This window comes from Homo sapiens, chromosome 2, assembly GCF_000001405.40.
Source record: "Homo sapiens chromosome 2, GRCh38.p14 Primary Assembly".
Classification (NCBI taxonomy): Eukaryota; Metazoa; Chordata; class Mammalia; order Primates; family Hominidae; genus Homo; species Homo sapiens.
The window spans coordinates 17,376,567-17,404,529 of NC_000002.12; the positions used below are offsets into that span (position 1 = coordinate 17,376,567).

Below are 27,963 nucleotides of genomic sequence, written 5' to 3' on the forward strand. Positions count from 1 at the left end.
AACCACATCCCTCATTTTTAATTTATACTTAAATAACCTGATACTGCTTTTAGATGAACTGGATACAAGCCTAAGAAGATGCCTGTCTGAAAAAGAGCCAAGTGAGGTCAGAACAGAGCCAGGTTGTAGGCCTAAACTAAGGTGACATGGTTATTAGAACAATTGTAAATTAACTGGGGCAAGGGACATCTTCACTGTGGGCTCAATGCGGCCACCTCATGCTAGCTAACAAGAAACTAACATTTGAGCTAGATCTGCAGGGATGATAGGAGTTCACCAAGCAGAAGAGAGAAATGTATCATGGAATGTTCTAGAAAAAGGACCAAGGATTGACAGTGCACATTGAAAGCTAGGCACAGTGAGGTTGCAACACAGAGGGCACAGGTATCTGCCTTGCTGCACCTTGGAAATGTATTGTTGGTTTGATTAGAAATTACTAAAACAGCCTGTACTTTTCTATTATAGCAAGTCTCATAGTGTGTAATTACATATTTGTAAGATTTGCTCCATTTGTCTCCCTTCACCTCCACACCATTCTAAACCTCCAGAAAGAAATCCCAACTGTTTTGCTCACCATTATACTCTCAGCACCTAACACAGGACTTAGTGCTCAGTAAAGCTCACTAAATATTTGACAAGGAATAAATGAATGAATTAATTATAAATGAAGTGAGACCAGCTCTGTCAGATCACTCATTGCTACATATTAAGAAGGAATGGTTATTTGTTTGTGATTGAGCTAAATTGGGTATCAATTCATATTAAAAGTCCATCAATTGTACACACAGCATCAAGTACATCATATTTGAAAATAACTATTTTATGGATTGGTTTCTCCCCACTTAGCCCCATTTTCCCCTTCTTTAGGGTGAGAATCATATGGAATATATATGCATTTTTAAATTTAGATAAAAGACAGCTTCTTTAAAGTGAGTAATAAATCTCACTAATGTGCACTAAAGGTAATAAAAAGTTGATTATTCAAGGGAATACAGTAAGGATATTGAAGGTCAGTCACTACACGGAATATGTTTTTTCCCAAAATTTTACTAGGTGTATGAATTTAGAAATGCCAAGAGATTTAAATCGATGTTCTCAGTGCATAACCTTAGCGTGCAAGAGAAAAATCTTTTCCCAGAGATGAATCTGTATTAAAGTGGGTTGGCCTGGGGAAATATGAGTAAGTAAAACAAGGCGGACTTCCACTGGCCTCCCTGGCTCTCTACTGTGCCCTTTGAGGTATGGGTCAGGCTCTACCCTGGGTACTTCTTAACTAGACCTAGGCACTGAAAGCCGAGAAGCTTTTTAACTCAGCTTCCTCACCCTCCACACTCAGTCTGTGTAATGTGCTATAGAGGCTAGTCCTCACCAGAGATGTCAGCAGCATTCAGGGATATAACACAGCCTCCTTCTCAGAGACCTCCTCTGACTCCTGAAAGCCTTCTATATCTCTGTATCTCCCAGGGGTATAGAGAAGAATGCCACATGTCTGTTCTGGTCTTTACCTCTCTGGTTCTATTTGACAATCTTTTTTTTAAATTTTTATAGTAGGTGTATATATTTATGGGGTACATGAGATATTTGGACAGACACACAATGTTTAATAAACACGTCAGGGTAAATAGGGTAACCATCATCTCAAGCATTTATACTTTGTGTTACAAACAATTCAATTATACTGTTTTAGTTATTTTTAAATGTGCAATTAAATTATTATTGACTGTAGTCACCCTGTTATGCTATAAAATACTAGATATTATTCATTCTTTCTATGCTTTGTACCCATTAACCATCCCTACCTTTTCCCTCCCACCTGCCTGGCCCTCCCCACCACTACCCTTCCCAGCCTCTGGTAATCCTCTTTCTACTCTCCATCTCCATGGGTTCAAGTGTTTTAATTTTTATCTTCCACAAATAAGTGAGAACATGTGAAGTCTGCCTTTCCATGACTGGTTTATTTCATTTAACGTAATGACCTCCAGTTCCATCCACGTTGTTGCAGATAACAGGATCTTATTGTTTTTGATGGCTGAATAGTACTCCATAGTGTTATATGTGACACATTTTCTTTATCCATCTGTTGATGGGCACATGTTGCTTCCAAATCTTGGCTATTGTAAATAGTGCTGCAATAAAAATGGGAGTGCAGCTATCTCTTCGATATACTGATTTCCTTTCATTTGGGTATATATCTAGCAGTGGTATTGCTGGATCATATGGTAGCTCTATTTTTAGTTTTATGAGGAACCTCCAAACATTCTCCATAGTGGTTGTAGTAATTTACATTCCCACCAACAGTGTACAAGGGTTCTCTTTTCTCCACATCCTCGCTAGCATTTGTTATTGCCTGTCCTTTGGATAAAAGCCATTTTAATTGGGGTGAGATGGTATCTTTTTGTAGTTTTGATTTGAATTTCTCTGATGATGAATGATGTTGAAAACATTTTCATATGCCTGTTTGCCATTTGTGTGTCCCATTTTTGAGAAATGTCTATTCAGATCTTTTGCCCAATTTTTAAAATCAGATTATTAGATATTTTCCTATAGAATTGTTTGAGTTCCTTTTATAGTCTGGTTGTTAGTCCCTTGTCAGATGAGTAGTTTGTAAATATTTTTCCCATTCTGTGGGTTATCTCTTCACTTTGTTGATTATATCCTTTGCTGTGCAGAAGCTTTTTAACTTGATATAATCCCATTTGTCCATTTTTGCTTTGGTTGCCTGTGCTTGTGGGATATTACTCAAGAAATATTTGCCCTGTCCAATGTCCTTGAGAGCTTTCCCACGATTTTCTTGCCATACTTTCATAATTTGAGGTCTTAAATTTCAATCTTTAATCCATTTTGGTTTGATTTTTGTAGACAGTGAGAGATAGGGGTCTAGTTTTATTCTTCTGCATATGGATATCCAGTTTTCCCATCACCATTTATTAAAGAGACTATCCTTTCCACACTGTATATTCTTGGCAACTTTGTTGAAAATGAACTCACTGTAGATGCATGGATTTGTTTCTGGGCTCTCCATTATGTTCCATTGGTCTATGTGTCTGTTTTTAGGCCAGTACCATGTTGTTTTGGTTACCATAGCTCAGTAGTGTAATTTGAAGTTAGGTAATGTGATTCCTCCAGTTTTGTACATTTTGCTCAGGATAGCTTTGACTATTCTGGGTCTTTTGTGATTCCATATAAATTTGGAATTTTTTTTCTATTTCTGGGAAGAATGCCATTGGTTCTACCTGACAAGCTTAATAGCTCCTCTTAACAGTGGCAGCCATGCTAACCAATGGCTAGAGAAATCAGCTATCCAAATTCTCCCATTTTGCAGATGAGGAAATTGAGACAGTCCTGGAGAGGTTAACTGACACACTATGGTCCCAAAGGGAAAGGAGAACTGAGATCCCTCCCCTTGAATTCATACTCCTTTTTTCTCCTCCTACATATTATCTCCCCCCAGTGGTATCCCCTTCTCAACATTTGCTACTTTGACCCTTTCTTGCAGTTTCCACTGTCATCACCTGCTTTGGGGTTTACATTCTTTCTTGTGTTCTCAGTATTTTGCCCATATCATCCCTCCCACTCCCACCAGCAGGCTCTTCTTCTTGCCTATCTAAATGTTATCATCACAAAAAGCCAGCTCAAATCTTTCCCCTGGGAAAATCCTTTCAACACGCTGTGGCCCAGCTTGTCCTTCCTATCTCTAGCCCCTAAAATCTGGATCCTTCTTTGTCACTTTGCATGTTCTTTCTTCACTGCTGATACTGTTATCTTTTGTTAAGGGAAATGCCTCTTTCCCACTCTTGATAAATCCTTCTGTAACAAGGAGCTTAATTATTGATATTCCTTTATGCCTTGTTTGCTTCATCTCAGGGCCAAGTAGGAAAGAATAAACTTATGATTTTAGACTCAGCTCCTCTCTTTTCTTCTTGGACACAAGCTCTTCCACAAACAGTGGTTCTTCTCTGTTCCATGGGGACAGAGGCACCACATGGCTAAGAATATAAGTCTAATTCTGGACTTCAGTGTCAAGCGGCTCACTGAGAACTGTGCTAAGCTGTGTGTACTTCAATTTAGCTTTCATCTACTAAAAATAAAGGTAATCTATTGCCCTATATGCATTCTATTTGGCATATTTCTCAACTGGTCCGGAACTCCGGAGGACGGGGAGTCCCTCTTGATGCCACGGCATTCTGTACGGATATTTAAGTCTTGTTCTATCATTTAATTCACTGCTTTGTGTGCTTTGTCTCTTCAGCTTTTGTGTGAACTCCTCAGGTGTGGGAATGATAGAATATAATTGTTCATATCCCCCAGAGCACTCAGTTCAAAGCTTTGCACATAGCAGGTGCTCAATCCATTTCTATTCAATGAAATATTTGTTGAAAAACTCTGACACCTCCCAGCAATCAAGTAATTTTCCTTAAAGTGTTTTCACCGTAATTCTGCCACCTATAAAGATCTGTAACCAAGGAAACATCTTTCCCATTCTAACTAAAACAGATCCTTTCAGTTTTTAAAATCTTCTTCCCTAAGTACTTATCCTCCTCCTTCATCACTTTTCAGATTCTCTTATTGCCTACTGGAAATAAAAAATGAAATAAAATAAAAAATAAAAACATTAGTAAGGTTTTACAGAAGGAGCAGAGGAGGCATGATGGTTCTGGTCATTTCTCATCCCCCTTGTCATTCATAATCCTTAGGAAGACATACTGCCATTTAGACACAGTGTTACCTAAGGCTGGGAGAGCTGAGAATTGATATTTTTCTACCAGCAGACCCAATGTCTATATTATAGGGCTGAGTGAGCTTCAGACAACCCTGTGGCTTCCCAGTTACAGCATTTCCTATGCTTTTGTCTTGTGCTTCTCTGACCAATCTCCCTGTGATCAAACCCTCTGTGCCCCATCATCCAGAGCCATGCTTCTGCAGTGCCTGGCCCTGAGTGTTATTTATTACCAGCTGAATGCAATTGTTCTCTGCACTGCTTCTTCTAAGAATATACCCCCACTTCCCTACCACAACAATTATCTTAGTGACATATTATCAAACTTCACTTAATTTTGCCAAGCCTTGAGGGTCCATGTGTAGGACCTCTACGCAGCCTCTACTAGGATCTTCCTTTATAAACAGTTTAATTTCCCTAGCTCCCAATTGATCTGAGGTGCTCCCTCCTATTCATCCTCTTTTCTAACCTTAACCAACCTTATGACTTGAGTCTGCCAAAACTAGTGCAGAATCTACCTTGGTAAATTCAAAGAGAAATTCAGAAACAGAACGGTTAAGATGCTCCAGTCTGACCTAATTCCTCCCTCTTTATTTTATAGATGAAGATGCCAAGGCACACGGAAGTTAAGTAAGTTACTAAAGTGAGCTAAAAGCAAACCTGGAACTAAACCTCAAGCCGCCTGACAACCAATTTTATACTCCAATATTTTTAAGCAAACAGAAAACGCAACAACTGATATTGACTTACCGTTATGGTACAAAAAAAGAACTCCCCAAAATGATACAGATTACTCACAAACCAATGCCTCAAATCCAAGTTATTTGCAAATTGGAGATTGATTCTCAGTGGTTCTAATGAGATGGATATTAAACTATAACAAGTAACAAGTCTGAATGTGCTTCTATCGTAAGAGACCAATAATTCAACCTTTTAATCGTAGACAGTTCCAGTAAGAGAAACCCTAGAAGCCTCCAAGGTCTTATATTCCATTAGGAATATAAATAGCAGTTACACAACTTAAAGCAAAAGGATTTCACCATAATACTAAAAGAAAAAATATGCAACAAAATATCATCAAGTCAATTTAATAAAAGTTATTAACTCTGAAAAAAATTCAAATCTCTAAACTTCAATGAAAATGTAACAGATTCATGAAAATAGATAAATTCTGTCTCCACTATAATTAAATAATTTGAATTGATGCAAAGAAAAGTCTGTCACCCTTCAAATGCAAATTTTTTGAAGTATAAGGTTTAAACATTTACCAACATGATGTAAACAAAAATACCCCAAGTTCAAAAATGTACTTATATTAAAAATGCTCCATTTTTTTGCTGTCAGTTTCTCACCATAAACCACAAATTGTGCAAATTAGTTTTAATCAATTCAGCTGTTTTTGTCAGTAAAAGACACTTGAAAAGTCCATGTATTTATTAAAATTCATCTCATAAATTTCACACTGATAGGCAATGTTTCAATTACCAATTGTAACTACCTTCTCTATATTCAAGAGAGATAGACATAGAAAGATATATATTACCCACGAATTTTTGCTCTCAGATTCAAATACAGCCATCTAATTTGTGAAAATAATTGTAATATTCTCCATCTAAGCTCCTTGTCTTCCTGAAATGGTAGATAATGGCGGCCCTGTTGTGCAGTACCTGGGATTGGTGCTTTGTCAGCACTGGGGAAATGGCTTGGCTGAATCACTTGGAGAGTACAGCAATTTGTCAGGTCAATGCTAATCATGCAAAGGGTTCTCTGCACGCCAGCAGAGGCACTTAGCACACAAGTCACCTCAACTTTAAACCAATGAGATATAGTTTCCTACTTGATCCACTCATTGAAGAAGGTGAAGGTAGCCCAGGACCTGATAGAAAATACATTTTTAATGTAGAATATTTTAAATCTTCTACATTTGACTTTGGGTTGTAAGATTTTAACCTTGCCAGTTATTGCTTCTTCAGTAATTATAGATAGAATGCTAACAGTGTCCGACTCTGTTTTGAGTACTTTACTTTGCATTCATATATTTAATCTTCATTTAATCCTCAGATGAGAAAACTGAGTCACAGAGAAGCTGAGCAATTTGCCCAAGACAAGTGGCAGAATTTAAGTTCCAACTAAAGCAGTCTGACTTCAGGCCCCTTGCCCTCAGCCTGCAATGCAACATAGGCTAATCTATAAGGAAAAACACAAAAAACTGCTCAAGGAAAATGGCACTTCAGAACAAGCTCCTCAGAGTCTCAGTACCCTCATAAATGTTTTCCCAACAAAATGTACTCTCTGTTACTCAGTCTTCATATCTGTAAAATGGGGAGAAAAACTATTCTGCTTTCATTTCTAGGAAGCTGTAAGATTCAAAGAACATAATGCATTTCTCTTTGGCAAGTGCAAAACACTAAGAAGAATAGTGTTATTGCCTATTACAGCTGCCTGCCAGATTGATTTTCTTACAGGGGTTATGCCACCTAGTTTGCAGTTATTGATAGATAACATGCATTTTTATCCATTCCCAGAAACAAAGAACACTAAGAATCGTGTGTTTTCACTTGGTGGAGACAAAAGTATGCCTTTACTGTGGTAAGAATGCCAACTGTCGGTTGTCAACTCCCCAGTTCTGTGTCATAATTTAATTCCCAAGAACAACTTACAATCCTGTAAGACATCATGCTGATTTATTCCATTAAACACATTATATTGATAAGATATAGAGCAGCAAGATGCTTCAGAAGAAAAAAAAAACAAAACCACAACCCTGTAATGTTTGCTGGACTCTGCAAGAGAAAGGCAAGGTATTCTACTTCGGCCAATTTACCAAGTGATTCCAAAAGTCAATAGCTCTCAAAGAGGCCCAGGCCAACAGAAGATATAAAACCTAATCTTGCATTCAGTGCAGAAAGCGCTAACATATGCCCTTATGACCCACTATATCCACTGGAGCAAAAGTCCCTTCAGTTTGAGAGCATAACCATACACCCTTTAACAAATCAGCAATATTCTTTTGAGAACTAATTCTGAATGTGCTACTAAGATTGGAGGAAGACTGAACTCATGACCATGAGAACATTAGCCCTCTTCACCCGTGAATTTGCAAACATTTCAAGAGGACATTGGATCGTCACAGAGTGTGAAATTGACACCAAGATTGAGGGGACCACGCTTGCTCACACCGGAGTTACACAGAAAATAATACCTCTATTAAGTGATTTGTTCACTAGATTCCTGTTCATTTTCTAGGCTTGTGTTTTATATTTTTGCCAATTTGTTGCTTAGATAAAACAGCATGAAACTCACTGTTCAGCATTCTGTTGGAACTACAGGGTAACCTCCACTACATGTTACTATAGCTCTCTTTCTCTAAAACTTGAGCTTCCTGTCCTGAAATTGTTCTGTTTTTCTATTTTTTTGCAGCTGCATTGTCTCTTTAAAATCAGCAATGCATGCTCACTGGAGATGAAAACAATGTTACTAAATACTCTGGTAAATTTTAAAAAGCATATACTTTCTTCCTGGAATTAAACTATAAACCAAAACCCCGTTTCATATTATTATTATTATTCCTATGAAGCCTTGTTAAATATAATGCTTTCAAAGCAGGAGCTAATATTAATTACTACTTAATGACTTCAAGTTCAGTTTCACTGCAAAGAACACTTTCTAGAAATTATATCCCCAGCAAGGGAAAATGTTTGAACCCACTGCTATTTGTAGCTAAATAATATAGTGAAACTAAAATTGTTAAGTAACCAACAGGCATCTTAATAATCCGAGTTTTTTACCTCAAGTGGCCAAGGCAAGATGGGTCAAAGTCAGAGTGGTGGTCATGGTCCTGGAAGTGGCAAGAAGGATGACAAGGACAAAAAAAAGAAATATGAACCTTCTGTACCAACTAGAGTGAGGAAAAAGAAGAAGAAAACAAAGGGACCAGATGCAGTCAGCAAACTGCCACTGGTGACACCTCACACTCAGTGCCGGTTAAAATTACTGACATTAGAGAGAATTAAAGACTATCTTCTCATGGAGGAAGAATTCATTAGAAATCAGGAACAGATGAAACCATTAGAAGAAAAGCAAAAGGAGGAAAGATCAAAAGTGGATGATCTGAGGGGGACCCCGATGTCAGTAGGAACCTCGGAAGAGATCATTGATGACAATCATGCCATCATGTCTACATCTGTGGGCTCAGAACACTATGTCAACATTCTTTCATTCATAGACAAGGATCTTCTGGAAACTGGCTGCTCGGTCCTGCTCAACCACAAGGTGCATGCCGTGATGGGGTGCTGATGGATGACACGGATCCCCTGGTCACAGTGATGAAGATGGAAAAGACCCCCCAGGAGACCTATGCCAATATTGGGGGGCTGGACAACCAAATTCAGGAAATAAAGGAAGCTGTGGAGTTTCCTCTCACCCATCCTGAATATTATGAAGAGATGGGTAAAAAGCCTCCTAAGGGGGTCATTCTCTATGGTCCACCTGGCACAGGCAAAACCTTGTTATCCAAAGCAGTAGCAAACCAAACCTCAGCCACTTTCTTGAGAGTGGTTGGCTCTGAACTTATTCAGAAGTACCTAGGTGATGGGCCCAAACTCGTATTCATATGGTAATTGTTTTGAGTTGCTGAAGAGCATGAACTATCCATCATGTTTACTGATGAAATTGGAGCCATTGGGACAAAAAGATATGACTCAAATTCTGGTGGTAAGAGAGAAATTCAGTGAACAATGTTGGAACTGTTGAACCAGTTGAAGGGATTTGATTCTAGGGGAGACATGAAAGTTATTATGGCAACAAACAGAATAGAAACTGTGGATCTAGCACTTATCAGACCAGGCCGCATTGACAGGAAGATCAAGTTCTCCCTGCCTGATGAAAGGACTAAGAAGCGTATCTTTCAGAATCACACAAGCAGGATGACACTGGCCGATGAAGTAACCCTGGACGACTTGATCATGGTTAAAGATGACCTCTCTGGTGCTGACATCAAGGCAATCTGTACAGAAGCTGGTCTGATGGCCTCAAGAGAACGTAGAATGAAAGTAACGAATGAATTCTTCAAAAAATATAAAGAAATGTTCTTTATAAGAAACAGGAAGGCACCCCTGAGGGGCTCTATCTCTAGTGAACCACAGCTGCCATCAGGAAAATGGTTGGGCGATTCCTCGACCCCTGAAAAGGATGAGGTTGGGGGAGTTGCCCAGAGGAATCCCTGTTCCCGTTGATTTTTATTAGCAAAATATCCCATGTCTTTTGGAGTACGATGTGTAAGTGCCCATTGGGTGGCCTTTGTCAGTCACTGTGCAGCAGTCTGTTCCCAATGGAGTGTGCTCTTTAACAAAAATAATAATAATAATCTGGGTTTCTGTCCATTTGTTTGTTTATTTGATTTTTAATATTAGGATGCTTTACTTATTCACTGCCTAACATCAAAGGGAAAATATGACCAACTTAATTCTTGGTGGTGTTATTATTGACATTGCCAATAGCATATAGAATAACTATAAAAAATTCAAGATGTGTAAGCCTAGGTGTGAATCCTGATAACTTCCCCCCTGTATGATGCTGAGAAACTTACTTAACCTCTCTGAGTTTCAGGGATGACTTACGTTTTAAGTGAGATAATGCATTTTAAATACTCGCCACAAAACCAGATACCAGCTGAGCTTTCAACAAACAACACCTGCTGTTATTGTCATCCTCTGTGGTCACTCTGATGGCAAAGCTGTCTTGAGAGATAGCCTAAAATTGTTCATCTTAAACAAGAAAAAGAGCTTAATGTAACAGGAAAAACTAAAACATTATGATGGTGACTAGTATGCATTTGCCCCCTGCTTATTTCCCTAGGGAAATCTAAAAAGTTCTTTTGTAGTTGGTGGTCAATCCTACATAATAAAAATATGGAACTTTACTAGGGAGGCTGAGAGCCTTCCATGAAGGAGAAGGTCTGAGCCACCAAAGCCCAGCAGCCCAAATTACAAGCAAGCCAACTGGTAGGAGAAGAAGCAGGGGAAATTGTGGAATAACACACGCTGTGAAAATCTAACATTCATATAAGGCTGTAGTCTAGAGGAGAGTTACCAGCCTTTTCTATGCTCTTTCTAATCACCTGGCTTGATAGAGAAAACCTTTGCCCCAGTGGATTCTATGAAAAGGTTCAGAGAATGAATGTTCTACCATGGCTGTGTAATGACTTTTTGTCTGGAGACAATGGTTGAAGAACCCAGTCTAAACTAAAATCAAGTCCATTTTCAGGGATGAAACATGGTGAGCTCCAAAAACCTCCAAGTATTTTTCTGGGGAACAAAAGACAGAGTTGGAGATATTCTTTACTGGCTTATGTGTAGACAGATATGCACACTTTCTGCTATTTGTGAAAGCAATGCTATGTGCATCATCCTATGTCTGTGGTGACCCGTGGGTGCAGTATTTTTCTTCTTCCAAGCAAAATAATAAGAGTAACATTTACTAAGCACTTATGATACGCCAGGCACAAAACCCTTTAATGAAACTAGTAGAATTTGATTCTTAGTGAGCTTAGTCATAATACAATGAGCTCTCCAACAGCCTCTGCAGTAATTCTGTTTTTTCCTGTCAGATGTCAATACATGTGAATGCTATCCAAGTTCTCATAGGGCTGGAAGCAGACAGAAAGGATTCTGCAGCTTTACCATCAAACAGTCTTCAGTTTTTAAAACAAATTTCAGATTATTCTTTTTTTAACTAAGAGTTCTCTGATACCACACCAGCAGACTTCCTTCTATTCCACTGCAATCATTACCTTGATTTTCTACCCTTTGATGTGCTGCAGTATTTGTGTCAGCAAGTTCTATGCATTTGAAAGCTCATGAAGGGATTGTCATTTTACACAGTGGAGTTGCTCCTCCTTGCAATACTGACAGCTGACTTGAGTCCTGGCTATAACTAATAACAACTTGGTGGTGGCTTTACATTGTGCATTTCATCTCCAGATTATAAAACACTCTGCAAAAATTTTATTACAGTCTCTCCCCATAGGATGAAAATACTTTAGAAGTATGAGAGGTTAAGTTACATGCCCAATAAACAGTAATGAAAGAAACAAAATTGAAATTAGGTCCTTCTGGGCTTAAGCCATTGCTTCTATTCATGGAGTCACAATGCCTTCCCAAGAAGGAAGACGCATGAAAGCAATATGTGTGGAAGCGCATAGCACAGAACACAGGTGGGAAGAACTGTAGTATTCTACTTTTCTTTGGTCTCTCAAGGTCTGTTGGTGGCTTTGAACCAGATATGTTATTCAAGTGGGACTACTATTATTCTAATTATTGATGAAGGATCTCAACAAAGAATTAGAGAGTTGTTACTACTTCCAAGTTTTGTGGTTTACTTACAAAACAAGCAGTTTGGTCATTCTTGTTTCAAAATCAACAGTAATTAGGGAAATAAATTTATTTTGTGTGTTTGAACTGGACAGAAATTTTAAGACCTGTGTTACTATAGGCCCACTGAAACTGCAATGACTCCAAACTCTCCTTCTTTTTCAATCTCCAGCAACTTGTTCCCAAAGCTGGAGAAGACACTCCTGAGGGCTATTTAGGACAACTTATGACTCAGCTCTTTGAGCAGAAAGAGGCCAAAAAGTTCAGCAGAAAAAGCCCTGAACTCTTGGAAGAGCTGGCTTCAAGCCTGGCTTAGACCTGGCCTTCTGTGGGGCAGGTTTCTTAATCTTCCAATGGGCTGTCTCCTGGAGGTGGGATGAAAGTTCTCTTCTGACTCAGCTCCTAAGGGCTGTTATGCATATTAGATCACCAGAATTAGAATGTATCAAGCTGTTCTAATGAAAGTGAAAGTTACCAGAGATAATTTAAAATATTTGGTGAAGATCAACAGACAAATTTTACTGAGCATGCAGTAGGTTCAATCCACTGGGTACCAAAAAAAAAAAAAAATCAAAGTGTGAAGCATAGTTCCTGCCATTCTGTATCTCAGAGGCTTGCTTTATATAATAGACAAGCACACCCAGAAAAGTAACTGAAAACCAACTTATGTTGTGTAGCATTTGAATGCAGACCTAAATGCTGTAGGAGAAATATGTGGAAGAGAGGACTTAGAAGGTGTAAAAGAGTTTACAAAATTACAGACGAAAAAAAGTTGGGGAGGGAATCAAGAAGGATACTTAAGCAGGACTGAAGAATTGAAAAAACAAGGCTCTTTAGGGGCATTTATAGAAAATATTTCTTGAAGAACATATGGTTAGCACAAGAAAAATGTAGTAAATGAAACAGAAAAGAGAGAGATGGAAGGCCCAGAATGCCATGTTATGATTCAGGCTCCATTCCATATAAACAAACAAAACTTGCTGAGAAAACACAATGAAAAGGAAAACCTCCCATTTGTGATGTAAATAAATAAATAACCTAGGCAAAGCACTTATCAATAAATATCCAAAATCTCCTGAACAAACCACATGAAACATTTCTGAAGGGCACAAAACTAGACTGTATAAATAGAAAGATAATCCATGTTTTGGAGTCGGAAAGCTCAATGCAAGAAAGTTGCCCCTTCCCACTAAGTTAAATTATAAATGCAGTGTGATTTCAGTAAAAAAATATATATATACACACATAAATACATATATACATATATACACACATATACACGTATGTATACACACATGTATACACACATGTATACATGTATACATATACACATATACCTACACATATATACATATATGTATACATGAATACATACATATATACATACATGTATACATGTAGGTATATAGACATATACACATATATACATATAGGTATATATCCACATATACATATACATATATACATACATATATACATAGACATATATACATGCATATATACATACATATGTACATATATGTGTATATATACATATACCATATACCACTTTTTCTGAAGCTCAACAAGTTAATTACAAAGTTTTATATTAAAAATAATAATATAACATGTTTAGTTAGGTATATTCCTTATTTATTTATTTATTTATTTTGCAGCTGTTGTAAAAGAGGTTGAGTTCTTGCTTTGAGTTTCAGCTTGGTCGCTAATGTGGTTTGGCTGTGTCCCCACCCAAATCTCATCTTGAATTGTAGTTCCCATAATCACATGTCCTGGGAGGGAGAGGTGGAAGGTAATTGAATCATGGGGCAGTTACCCCATGCTGTTCTCAGGATAGTGAGTGAGTTCTCATGAGATCTGATGGTTTTATAAAAGGCTTTTCCCCCTTGGCTAGGCACTTCTTCCTGTTGCCTTGTGAAGGTGGCTTTCTTCCCCTTACCCTTCCACCATGATTGTAAGTTTCCTGAGGCTTCTCCAGCCATGCTGAACTGTGAGTCGATTAAACTTCTTTCCTTTATAAATTACCCAGTCTCAGATATTTCTTCCTAGTAGTGTGAGAACAGACTAATACAGTAATCTGTTACTTCAGAGAGTGGGGTACTGCTATAAAGATACCCAAAAATGTGGATGCGACTTTGGAACTGGGTAATAGGCAGAGGTTGGAACAGTTTGAAGGGCTCAGAAGATGGCAGGAAAATGTAGGAAAGTTTGGAACTTCCTAGAGACTGGGAGAGCTCAGAAGACAGGAAGATGTGGGAAAATCTGAACTTCTAGAGACTCGTTGAATGGCTTTAAACAAAATGCTGCTGATAGTGATATGAACAATTAAGTCCAGGCTAAAGTGGCCTCAGATGCAGATTAGAAATTTATTGGGAACTGGAATAAAGGTGACTTTTGCTATGCTTTAGCAAAGAGACTGGTGGCATTTTCCCCCTGCCATAGAGATCTGTGGAACTTTGAACATGAGAGAGATAATTTAGGGTACCTGGAGAGAGGAATTTCTAAGCAGCAAAGTGTTCCAGAGATGACAGAGCATAAAGGCTTGGAAAACTTGCAGCCCAACAATGTGGTAGAAAAGAAAAACCCATTTTCTGGGGAGAAATTCAAGTCAGCTGCAGAAACTTGCATAAGTAACAAGGAGCCAAATGTTAATGACAGAGACCATGGGGAAAATGTCTCCAGGGCATGTCAATGTCTCCAGGGCATGTCAGAGACCTTCCCAGCAGCCCCTCCCATCATAAGTCCAGAGGCCTAGGAGAAATAAAAAATGGTTTCCTGGGCCAGGTCCAGGGCCCTACTACTGTGTGCATGCTTGGGGACTTGGTGCCCTGTATCCCAGCCACTCCAGCTGTGGCTAAAAGGGGCCAAGGTACAGCTTGGGGCATGGCTTCAGAAATGTGCTGCAGGGGCAGGGCTGTCATGGAGAACCTCTGCTAAGGCAGTGAGGAAGGGAAATGTGGAGTTGGAGCACCCACACAGAATCCCCACTGTGGCACTACCTAGAGGAGCTGTGAAAAGAAGGCCACTGTCCTCCAGACCCCAGAATCATAGTTCCACTAACAGCTGGCACCATGTGCTTGGAAAAGCCACAGATACTCAATGCCAGCCATGAAAGCAGCCCAGAGGGGGGTTATACCCTGCCAAGCCACAGGTGCAGAGCTGTCCAAGGCCATGGAAGCCTACCTCTTGCATCAGCATGACCTGGATGTGAGACATGGAGTCAAAAGAGATTATTTTGAAACTTTAAGGTTTAGTGACTGCCATATTGGATTTTGGGCTTGCATTAGGCCTGTACCCCCTTTGATTTGGCCAATTTCTTCCATTTGGAACAGATGTATTTACCCAATGCCTATACTCCCATCATATCTAGGAAGTAACTAACTTGCTTTTGGTTTTACAGGCTCATAGGTAGAAGGGACTTGCCTTGTCTCAGATGAGACTTTGGACTTGGTCTTTGGATTAATGCTGGAATGAGTTTGAGTTAAGATTTTGAGGGACTGTTAGAAGGGCACGATTGTGTTTTTAAATGTGAGGACATGAGATTTGGGAGGGGCCAGAGAAGAGTTATATGGTTTGGTTGAATCCCCACCCAAATCTAATCTTGAATTGTAGTTCCCATAATCCCCATGTGTTATGGGAGGGACCCAGGGGAAGGTAACTGAATCATGGGGGGTGGTCACCCCCATGCTGTTTTCATGATAGTGAGTTCTCATGAGATCTGATTGTTTTATAAGGGGCTTTTTCCCCTTTGCTTGGCACTTCTGTTTCCCACCACCTTGTGAAGAAGATGCCTTGCTTCCTCTTCACCCTCCACCATGATTGTAAGTTTCCTCAGGCATCCCCAGCCATGTGTACTGTGAGTCAATTAAAGCTCTTTCCTTTATAAATTACCCAGTCTTAGGTATTTCTTCATAGCAGCATAAGAGCAAATTAATACAGTCGTTATCGGTGTATAGCAGTGCTACTGACTTGTGCACATCGATTTTGTATCCTGAAACTTTACTGAATTCATTTATGAGATCTAGGAGCCTTTTGGATGAATCTTTAGGGTTTTCTAGGTATATGATCATATCATCAGTGAACAGTGAGAGTTTGAGTTCCTCTTTACCTATTTGTATGCCCTTTATTTCTTTCTCTTGTCTGATTGATCTGGGCAGGACCTCCAGTACTATGTTGAATAGAAGTGGTGAAAGATCTTTACAAGGAAAACTACAAAACCCTGCTGAAAGAAATTATAAATGGCACAAACAAATAAAAATATCCCATGCTCCTGGATGGGTAGAAACAATATTGTGAAAATGATTACACTGCCAAAAGCAATCTATGAATTCAATGCATTTCCCATCAACATACCATTATCACTCTTCACAGAACTAGAAAAAAAATCCTAAAATTCATATGGAACTAAAAAGAGCCTGCATAGCCAAAGCAAGACTAAGAGAAAGAATGGTTCTGCAGGCATCACATTACCCAACTTCAAACTATACTACAAGGCTATAATTACCAAAACAGCATGATACTGGTATAAAAACAGGTACATAGACCAATGGAACAGAATATAGAACCCAGAAATAAGGCCAAATACTTACAGCCGACTGATCTTTGACAAAGCAAAAAAAAACATAAAGTGGGAAAAAGACACCCTATTCAACAAATAGTGGTGAGATAATTTTCAAGCCACATGTAGAAAAATGAAACTGGATCGTCATCTCTCACCTTAAACAAAAGTCAACTCAAAATGGATAAAAAACTTAAATCTAAAACCTGAAACCATAAACATTCAGATGATATCATCAGGAAAACTCTTCTAGACATTGTCCTAGACAAAGAATTCACGTCCAAGAACCCAAAAGCCAATGCAACAAAAATAAAGACAAGTAGATGGGACTTCATTAAACTAAAAAGCTTCCGCACAGCAAAAGTAATAATCAGCAGAGTAAACAGACAACCCTTAGAGTGGGAGAAAATCTTCACAAACTATGCATCTGACAAAGGACTAATATCTAAAATCTACAAGGAACTCAAACAAATCAGCAAGAAAAAGAAAACAAAAAATCCCATCAAAAAGTGGGCTCAGGACATGAATAGACAATTCTCAAAAGGAGATATACAGATGGTCAACAAACATATGAAAAAATGCTTAGCATCACTAATGATCAGGGAAATGCAAATTAAAACCACAATGCAATTCCACCTTAACCCTGCAGAATGGCCATAATCAAAAAATAAAAAAAATAGATGTTGGTGTGGATGTGGTGAAAAGGGAACACTTTTGCAATGCTAACGGGAGTGTAAACTAGTATAACCACTATGCAAAAGAGTATGGAAATTCCTTAAATAAATAAAATTAGAACTATCATTTGATTCAGTAATTCTACTACTGGTGCCTATCAAGTGGAAAAGAAGTCATCATATGAAAAAAACACTTGCACACGCATGTTTATAGAAGCACAATTCACAATTGCAAAAATATGGAACCAGCCTAAATGCCCATCAACTGATGAGTGGATAAAGAAAATGTGATGTATATATACCATAGAATGCTACTCAGCCATAAAAAGGAATGAGATAATGCATTCTTAGCAAGCTGAATGGAGTTGGAGACCATTAATCTAAGTGAGCTAACTCAGAAATGGGCAACCAAACATTATGTGTGCTCACTTATAAGTGGGAGCTAAGATATGAGGGTGCAAAGGCATAAGAACAAGACAATGGACTTTGAGACCTCAGGAGGAAGTGTAAGAGAGGGGTAAGGGATAAAAGACTACACATTGGGTACAGTGTACACCGCTCAAGTGATGGATGCACCAAAAGCTCATAAATCACACCAAAAGAACTTATTCATGTAACCAAACACCACCTGTTCCCCAAAAACTTCTGAAATAATAAGAAGAATTTTAAAATTTTTTAAATAAATAAAAGAATAATAATATATGCGGGAACAGAAAACCAAATACCACATTTTCTCACTTATAAGAGGAAGCTAAATGATAAGAACTTATGAACATAAAGAAGAAAACAACAGACACTGAGGTTTACTTGATGGGGCAGGGTGGAAGGAGGGAAAGGAGCAGAAAAGATAACTGTTGAGTACTGGCCTTAATACCTGGGTGATGAAATAATATGTACACATGTTTACCTACGTAACAAACCTTCACTTTTACCCCCAAACCTAACATAGAGGTAAAAAATAAAATAAATAAAATAAAATAATAATAAGCACTAATAGTCAGAATATCTCAGAAAACACAAGAGCAATAGGATAGGGTAAGAGGTGGCTATCCCTACCAGGTAGTAAAACATAAATCCTCTAAAAGTAAAACCATATGGTATGGGTAAATGGGTTTACAAAGAAATCAATGAAATATAGCTGAATGTCTAGAAATAGAATCAATTGCATATGGAATTCAGTATATTAATAAGCAGCACTGCAAATCAGTGGGGGAAAGAAAAACAGTAAATGATGTTGGAGTAATCTGATATTCACATTATAACAAAAGATAAAACTAGGTTATTTCTCACATCATACACCAGAAAAAAAAAGTGTATTATGAGATATTTAAATGTAAAAATGGAAAACATACAAATACTAGAAGAAAGCATGAGTAAATCCTCTATAATCTGAAAGAGGAAAAACTTAAGAAGCAATAAAGGAACAGATTAATAAACACAAGATATAACAATTTAAAAAATATGGCAAAAATAAATCTTAAATATAATGAAAAAAATGACAAACTGGAAAAAATTTTTGCAACTTATATGACAGAAAAGAGTTGGTATCCCTAAAATAGAAAGATTGTCTAATAGAAGAAAAACTCCAATAACTCTATTGAAAAATGAACAAGAGATATAAATATAGACTTAACAGAAAAAGAAAGGCAGATGGCCCTTTAACATGAAAATATGCTCAACGTCATTCATAATAATAGAGTTGCAGATTAAAACTACAGTTATCATTCTCACCTATCGTACTGTCAAAAATGTAAAAGTTTAATGGTATATTCTGTTGGTAAACCTTTGGGGAAATAAGTCTTTTTTTTTTTTTTTTTTTGATGGAGTCTTGCTCTGTCACCCAGGCTGGAGTGTAGTGGCATGATCTCAGCTCACTGCAGCCTCCACCTCCCAGGTTCCAGCAATTCTCCTGCCTCTGCCTCCCGAGTAGCTGGGATTACAGGCCTGCACCACCACACCTGGCTAATTTTTTTTTGTATTTTTAGTAGTGATGGGGTTTCACCATGTTGGCCAGGCTGGTCTCAAACTCCTGACCTCCAGTGATCAACCCACCTCGGCCTCCCAAAGTGCTGGGATTACAGGTGTGAGCCACCGTGCCGAGCTGGGAAATAAGTCTTATATATTGCTGGTAGAATGTCAAGTGGTACAACTACTAGAGAACAGATTTATGCAACATCTAATAAAATTACATATGCTTTTACCATTTTAATCAGCAATCTCATGTGGAGGATTTTAACTTAATTATTCAATGATCTGCCTCCCCCAAAGAAGATATATTCATAAGGCTATTCATTGTGTTACTATTTCTAATAGCAAAAGAGTGGAAACAACTTAAATGTCTATTCAATAGAAGATTGGTTGAATAAACTATAGTATTAATACATTTATTTACACATTGGAGTACTACCAGCTGTAAGAAGGAGCAAAGATTATCCCCAATACTGTTATGCTATCTGGAATCATGTAAATGTTTTGCAAAACTGTAAATAAAAGTTATTCAAAAAATAAAGTAATTTTAAGAATTGGAAACAAAACAAACTTAATTTTGTATTGAGTGATTGGCTTAATCTCACATAGAAATTATTTCAAGTGACTTGAAAATACAGCCATGTGGCTGTACATCCCTAGGGGGATATATTCTAACAGGAAAAATAATTCCAAAGAAATTTTGATCAGTGTTTGCTATTCATAATTTTGGTGGTAATATCTGTGTTGTTATTCTGAACTGATGTATGTGTATGCAGGATAAGACAAGGGCACAATTATGTTGGTTGTGTTGGGAATAAAATGTTTCCATGGGAGAAGAGAGGTGTGTTGTGTACAATCAGAGAAATTAAGTCAAAATGCTTTAATATGAATTTTAGTTATATAGATGTCTGCATACATTTATGATGTATTTTCTTTTTTAAAATATGCATTTTTTTTACTTCTGCCCACTAAAAAGACCTAGAAATGATGACCAGCTAAATACCAGTGGCACCCTTATTCCCTATACTTTTCTCCATATGACACTTCTTACTGGAGCAAACTATGGTACCTACAAGAAATTCTAGGCCTGGGACAATAAATGTACCATACTTTTCAGTTCTGAAAATCAAAGAAGTTATTGAAGTCTGCTGAAGTTTTATGAAAAGAACTCAAAAGCTAACTTGAAGTGGCTTTTAACTACCAAAGAGAGGACAATTTGAGCATCAAAATCAATGAATACCTTCATGAGAGTTAAAGCTGTCCCATATATGTCTAAATTATTCTGAAAATGAAAATTAAAAACCAGCTCAATGGTCACCTCTGGAGGATGCCAGGAGAACCAAAGCATAATTGAGAAAACTGTGAACTAAATGCAGATAACCAAACATTTGTCCTGCCTTTCTTTATAAACTATCCTTTAGTTTGTAACCAAATAGTTGATTATAGAAAGTTAATCTTTTTAAAAGAATTACATTAATTAATAAACAATACCATTTTGTAGCCTCTAATAAAACAATGGATCAGAGTAATGATTACCAATCCTCCCGAAGCCAATAGATGAAAAGTTTTTGGAGAATTTTATAATGGCCAGATTAATCTTAACATCACACACACACACAAAGAGAGAAACTATCATTGGATTCTGCCTGGAGGAACAAAATATGAGACAACTGTGAAGTACTCTTGTCAAAAATTTGAAGCTAAATCTGATCTCACCTCTAGATCTAAGTATCAGGTTAAGCCATATAAAATTGCCATTTTGACCTACAAATATGAAATTTTATTTGATTCAGCCTAATACCTAAATAGAGGGACAGAAAACCATGTTAAGTTAAATTTCATGTGAAGCAATTGGCAAAATTCAGACTGAACAAATCACCCAATTTCTGCAACAAAAAATGTATAAGAAAATTTAAAAGGAGTGAGAAGAGTACTCATGGGTGAAAAAAGACTCAGTGATGAAATACAGGGGGCCAGTGAAGCAGGTACCTTATTAGAATCCTTGTTCAGACAATCCAGCTGTCAAAAACAAGAGAGAGGGAATTAAGAAAAATTTAAAACTATTTAGCTATTTGATGATAATACAAATTTAGTGTTAATTTTTAGGTGTTTTAATGGCATTGTGGTTATTTTTTAAAGGAGTACTTGTCTTTTTTATGTATGTATTAGAGTATACTACTGATGAATTCAGATAGTTTGGAATTTGCTCTAACAATTTAAGGAATAGGAAATAAAGGAGATAAGAGTATAGATTAACAAGGTTGACAATTAAACTGCTCTCTATGACTTTGTATATTTGTATGACATTTTCCATCATTTAAAAAAACTTGGAGGAAAGAAGATGTAGACTCTAATTATTGGTGAGTCATTGAAAGACTTTTATCAGGGAAGCACAGATTCATCAAATTATTTAAAAACAACACACATGTTCTTGTCTTGCGTTTTTCTATGAGACACATAGGAGCCCAATATAACTACAATTTCTTTGAACTTGACTGTTTGAAGCCCAAAGTAAAGGTATCTCAGAGCGAATGGGTGGCAGCCACATTTGCCTTACAGCTTTTAAAAGACAGAGAGAGAGAAGTGAAAGAAAAAAGTCGACATGCAAGGTCAGATGTTTATGATTTTCTAATGCTCTAACAGATCAGCTAGAACGTTTCACCAGATGAACTGATGTTGTATAACTCAAAGACAGGAAATGTTGTGCAAAGTTTGTGCATCTTGTTTTTGAACAAGACTTAAGTTATTAGAAGTGAACCAATTTAAACTCTGTAAACAGAAAGTTCAAATGGTATAGTAATTTTTCTCTAAAGGAAATAGTTTCATATTTTCAAATACTCTTAGTAATCCAAGAAACATTAACATATGTTCTCTGCAAACTTATTTACGCCATTAATTTTCTTAAGAAAGCTTTTCCAAAAAGGATATAGGGATAAACTTAAAGCTTACTATGTCTTTAAATCTATTTTCTTTACATTTCATATAGGTATCCAAGTATTTTTAAGATCCAATTCCTGCCACCCTTGAAAACACCAGCTTCATGTGCTATTGTTCCCCTGCCACATGTATCTTCATTGTGGTGGATACACCTTAAGGTAGGCCTTAAAAATTTCTGCCCCAGACTTTCAAGCTATTGTGTAATCCCCTCCTCTTAAGTGTAGGCAGGACCTGTGACTTGCTTCTAACCAATATAATGTAGCAAAGGTGATTGGATGTCACTTCTGTGAGTAGATAATACTACATGACAAAGGTCGTGCAATATCATTGCCACGGTTAGGTTATGAAATACATATGACTCTGCCTTTCTAGTGTGCTTTTGTGAACAAATGTGAACCTGAAGGAGCTAATGCTTCACGATAGATCCCAAGTGGCTAACTGGGTCTAAATTCAAACAGAGCCAAGTGGCCATTTGCTGAGTAGAGGTCACAGATGTACTCTGAGTTCTCAGGAAACCCATACCTCTGTTTAACTTTTGAGTTTTCATAACTCACGTGAATCAATCAATCAGAGCTCCCTTGAACCAACCAATCAGAACTCATCTGCTTTGACTAATTAGGGCTCAACTGTGTTAACCAATCAGAACTCAGCTGCATCAACCAATCAGAACCAAACAAGTTTGAGTCCTTCATTTGCATAAATCGACCTGATTGGAAAACTGAATGGGAACTTTCACTCTAAAACTAGCCCTCTCTGTGTTTTCTGGAACAGCATCTTGATTTTACACCAAAGTCAATGTCTGCTTGGTTTACAAACTGTTCACTGAAATAAAGCCTCTTTCATCCAAATTCCTTTTCAGATAACTTTTATTCACACAGAGAGACCTTCCTTCAGGACTTGAAGAAGCAAGTCAAGTTGTTACGATGTGAATGGAGAAGTCCACATGGTAAAGAACCAGAGGCAGCTCCTAGGGTTTTGAGGGCCTTCATCCTATGACCATAAGGAGTTAAATTTTCCTAACATCCACTTGAACTTAGAAGAGGATCCCTAGCTTCAGAAAGGCACACAGTTCAGCTGACACATTACAGCCTTGTGAAATCCTAGGAGAACCCAGATAAGCCATGCCCTGAACTATGAAAACCGTGTAAGAATAAAAGCGTGCTGTTTTTGTGGTTATGTGTTAGGCAGCCGTAGAATATGCTGAGCACATTTTCATGGCCCCCATGACATGTACGACTTAGTCTTTCATTCGGAACGTCTCTCTCTTATTTACCTGCTATATGTTTTGCAAAATACAATGTAGCAAAACATATAGCATCCTTTAAGATTTAGTGTAAACGTATTCTCTGGTAAGTTTCTCCAGTTTTTCCTTCTACCCTATATTCATGCTTCAATCATCAGTCTTTATGTACATGCAATTGCCTTAACATATATCTATCATTGCAAATACCACCTTAAATTATAGTTATTCATGGACTGCATCCCTCACCAGACATTGAGGTTTGCGTGTATTTATTCATTTATTCAACAAACTTTTATTTCTTACTCACAACATACCAGATTGTGTGCAAAGTACTAGAAACACAGGCTTAAGGGGTCTTTTCTCAAAAGGCAGAGACCATATCTTATCCATCTTTATATTTCCTGATGAGTGCTGCATTTGGAACATAAAAAAATGGGGGGGATTATGTTAATTTACTAAAACATCAATTTTTCAAAAGGCAATTTGCCAAATGATCAATTCATCAAAAACTACCAAGCACCTTAAACTGATTTTTCACAGCCATTTCGTTCTGAGAGGAAGAAACAGGGTGTGAACCTAAAAAAAAAAAATAAAAGAAATAAAAGAAATAAAAAGAAAAAAATGAGAAGTGTATGCAAGGAAAAGCCCACCCCTTGAATATGGAAACATATTTGTGTTCTAAAACATGAATTTCATAAAAAATTGAAACTCAGCCAAGTAGAACTAGGGAAATTTTTGACTCTAGCAAACTAAGCAAATTGGTCACTTGGTAAATTAGTTGCAGTAAATTGGTCTGATTTTAGGTTACTACTCTTATTTATCAATTTGGTAGAAATAATAAGAGCAACTGTGATTTTAAGGAAGACAAAGTCCACCTGAGCTAGAGTAGTTGGAGTGGACATTCTGGAGGAGATGGAACATAAACTGAGATTTCGAAGAAAGAAAGAATCTAAGCAAATGGAGATTTAAAAATTGGGAAAAAACTAATTATGTACAAAGGGCAGTGAGACTACTTTTCTCACCAAAGCAATTCAGCTCAAATTTAATTAATTAATTATTATAAACATACAAATTCACTATATTATTAATTTATTAGTAAGATTCACAACAAAAAGGCAGGCATTCACAAAAAAACTTAAGATTCAGTCTCTTAAGAAACTTATGATTCAAAATTAAAGGTCAAAAATGCTGACCTTTAGAAGAATTGCATTCCTCTGACAGTTAATGTCAGAGGATTTAGCATAAGACACGGGGAGACTTTTTATTCTTTGGAAGCAGCATGTTTACTTTACAAACAAAACAAATGTGAAGACATTCCCCTTAGCAACAACAATCATGAAACACACACATCCCCTTACTTTCCTTTTTGGTCTTATCCATGTCCTGGATGTCTGCTGTGGGAGTATTATCAGTTTCCTTTCTTGTGTATTGATCTCCTGTCTATCATCAGATTTCTGTCACTTCATAAAACAAATACAAACTGGGATTTTGTGTTGTCTTATGTTTCTTTTTTTTTTGGAATTGTGAAATTTTGGAATTACTTTTTTGTTCAGTGATTGGTAGAATTTATTGATACAACCATTTTGGTCTTGTGATTCTCTACAGTTATAGAAATATTCAGGTTTTCTATTTCTTTTAAGTTAGATTAAATTTTTCTATGAATTTTTTCATTCCATCCAAGCTTTAAATGTATTAGCATAAAATCTTTATATTATTTGTTTAATTTCTATAACATGTACAATTACGTCCACTTTTTATTCCCAATGATATTTATTTATATCCTCATTCTGTTTTTATTAATGGATCTTGCCATTTTTATTGTTTATTGGTCAATTTTATTTTTGTCCAGAATAATGACTTTTGTCTTTTTTGATTCTGCATGTTGTATATTCATTATTGCTTATATTAAATTTATCTTACCATTATCAGTAACTTTATTCTACTCTTTCTGTATTTATTCTGTTTTATCAACTTTTGAAGTTGACTGCTTAATTCCATAATGTCTACTTCTTTAGTGTATGAGCTACTTTAAAATCTTTTTTTTAATTTCTGGATGCATTTTTTTCAGTAGTCTTTGTTGTTTATTTCCAATATATTATGATTTATTTCAAATTGGAACAGTTTGAGAATTTGTATTAATTCTACTTTAAAGTTTTGCTAGAATTCAGCAATGAAGTCATTTGGTCCTGAACTTTGTTTGTTGGGGGATGTTTTATTACTGATTCAATCTCCTTATCTGGTATTGGTTTGTTTAGGTTTTCTATTTCTTCTTTTTTCAATCTTGGTAGGTTTCATGTGTGCAGGAATTTATTCACATCCTCTAGGTTTTCTTAATTTATTGGCATATACTTGTTCTACTAGTTTCAAGTGATTTTTTGTATTTCTGTGGTATCTGTTGTGATGTCTCCTTTTTCATCACTGATTGTATTTATTTGGATCTTTTCTCATTTTTCTTAGTCTAGCTAATGGTTTATTGGTTTTGTTTATCTTTTCAGAAAACCATCTTTTTGCTTTATTGATCTTTTGTATTTTTTAATCTCAATTTTCTTCCCTTCTACTAATTTTGTGTTTTGTTTGTTGTTGCTTTTCTAGCTTCTTAAGATGCTTTGCTAAGTTGTTTATTTAAAATATTTCTAGTTTTTTTAATGTAGACAATTATTGCTGTAAACTTGCCTCTTAGTGCTGCTTTTGCTGCGTTCCATAGGTTTTAGTATGTTGTGTTTCTATTTTTATTTGTTTCAGGATATTTTTTAAATTTTATTCATAATTTCTTTATTCACCTATTGGTCATTTAGGAACATGTTTGATTTTAATGCATTTGTATAATTTCTTTTTTTCTTTTTTATTTGTTTGAGACAGACTCTCTCTCTTGTTGCCCAGGCTGGAGTGCAGTGGCATGATCTCAGCTCACTGAAATCTCTGCCTGCTGGATTCAAGTGATTCTCCTGCCTTAGCCTCCTGAGTAGTTGGGATTACATGTGCCTGCTACCACACCTAGCTAATTTTTTTGTATTTTTAGTTGAGACGGGGTTTCACCATGTTTGCCAGACTAGTCTTGAACCCCTGACTTCAGGTGACCTGCCTGCCTCAGCCTCCCAAAGTGCTGGAATTATAGGCATGAGCCACCACACCTGACCTTGTATAGTTTCTAATGTTCCACTTGCTCTTGATTTCTAGGTTTATTCCATGTGTTCAGATAAGATGCTTGATATTACTTCAATATTTTTAAAGTTTTTCAGGCTTGTTTTGTGTCCTAACATATAGTCAATGCTGGAGAATGTTCCACAAGCTGATGAAAAGTATGTGTATTCTGCAGCTGTTGGACAAAATGTTCTGTTAATGTCTGTTAAGTTCATTTGGGCTATAGTGCAGTTAAAATGAAATATTTCTTTGTTGATTTTCTGTACAGATGATCTGTCCAATGCTGAGACTCAGACGTTGAAGTCCCCAACTATTATTGTATTGTGGTCTGCCTCTCCCTTTAGATTAAATAACATTTGCTTTATATATCTCGGTGCTCCAGTGTTGGGTTAAGCTGTGTTTACAATTGTTATGCTCTCTTGCTGAGTTGATTGTTTTATTACAATTAGAATGTGCTTCTAAAAAACTGAGGTGAGGGTAACTCTCTCTAACTTATTCTATGAGGACAGCATAATCCTGATAACAAAACCAGACAAGGACACAACAACAATAACAAAAAACACAGTTCAATATCCCTTATGAACACAGATGCAAAAATCCTTAACAAAATACTAGTAAACCAAATCCAACAATGCATTGAAAAGATAATATAGCATGATCAAGTAGAATTTATCCAAGGAATTCAAGGATGGTTTAACATATATGCAAATCAATAAAAATGATACATCATATCAATAGAATGAGGAACAAAAAATATATTATCTTAATAGATGCATAAAAAGCATTCAATTAACTTTAACATCTCTTCATGATAAAAGCTCTCAATAAATTGATTATAGAAGGAAAGTACCTCAACACAACATAAGCCATATATGACAAACCAACAGCTAACATCATACTGAATGAGGAAAAGCTGAAACAATTTTCTCTAAGAACTGGAACAAGATAAGTATGCCTACTCTCATCACTCTTATTCAATATAGTACTAGAAATCCTAATTAAATCTTAATCCTAATTAAGAAAAAGAAAGAAAGAAAGGGCTTATAAATTAGGAAGTAGGAAGTCAAATTGACCCTGTTTGCAGATGATGTGATCTCATATACAGAAAAATCGAAAGACTGTACCAAAAAAAAAAAACCCCTCTTAAAGCTGATAAGCAAATTCAGTAAAGTCGCAGTATACAAAATCAACCTACAAAAATCAGTAGCATTTCTATATATAAACAACAAACTACCTGAGGGAAGAAATCAACACAGAAATCCCATTTATGATAGTGACACAAAATAAAATAAAATACCTAGGAATAAATTTAACCAAAGCAGTGAAATACCACTACAAGGAAACTACAAAATGCAAAT

General features: G+C 36.7%; 1 long non-coding RNA gene and 1 pseudogene across 2 annotated transcripts; both read left to right on the forward strand.

The window, feature by feature from the left end:
* Positions 1-23,354, forward strand: LOC105373447 (uncharacterized). Of its 2 annotated transcripts, none has more exons than XR_939758.2 (4): positions 1-122; positions 5,319-5,347; positions 22,271-22,379; positions 23,081-23,354. It is a non-coding gene; the product is annotated as an uncharacterized LOC105373447 (long non-coding RNA). The 2 variants fall into 2 exon arrangements; XR_939757.2 differs by having other exon boundaries at positions 1-106.
* Positions 8,527-10,068, forward strand: PSMC1P10 (proteasome 26S subunit, ATPase 1 pseudogene 10; annotated as a pseudogene).
* Positions 23,355-27,963: the final 4,609 nt, after the last annotated feature.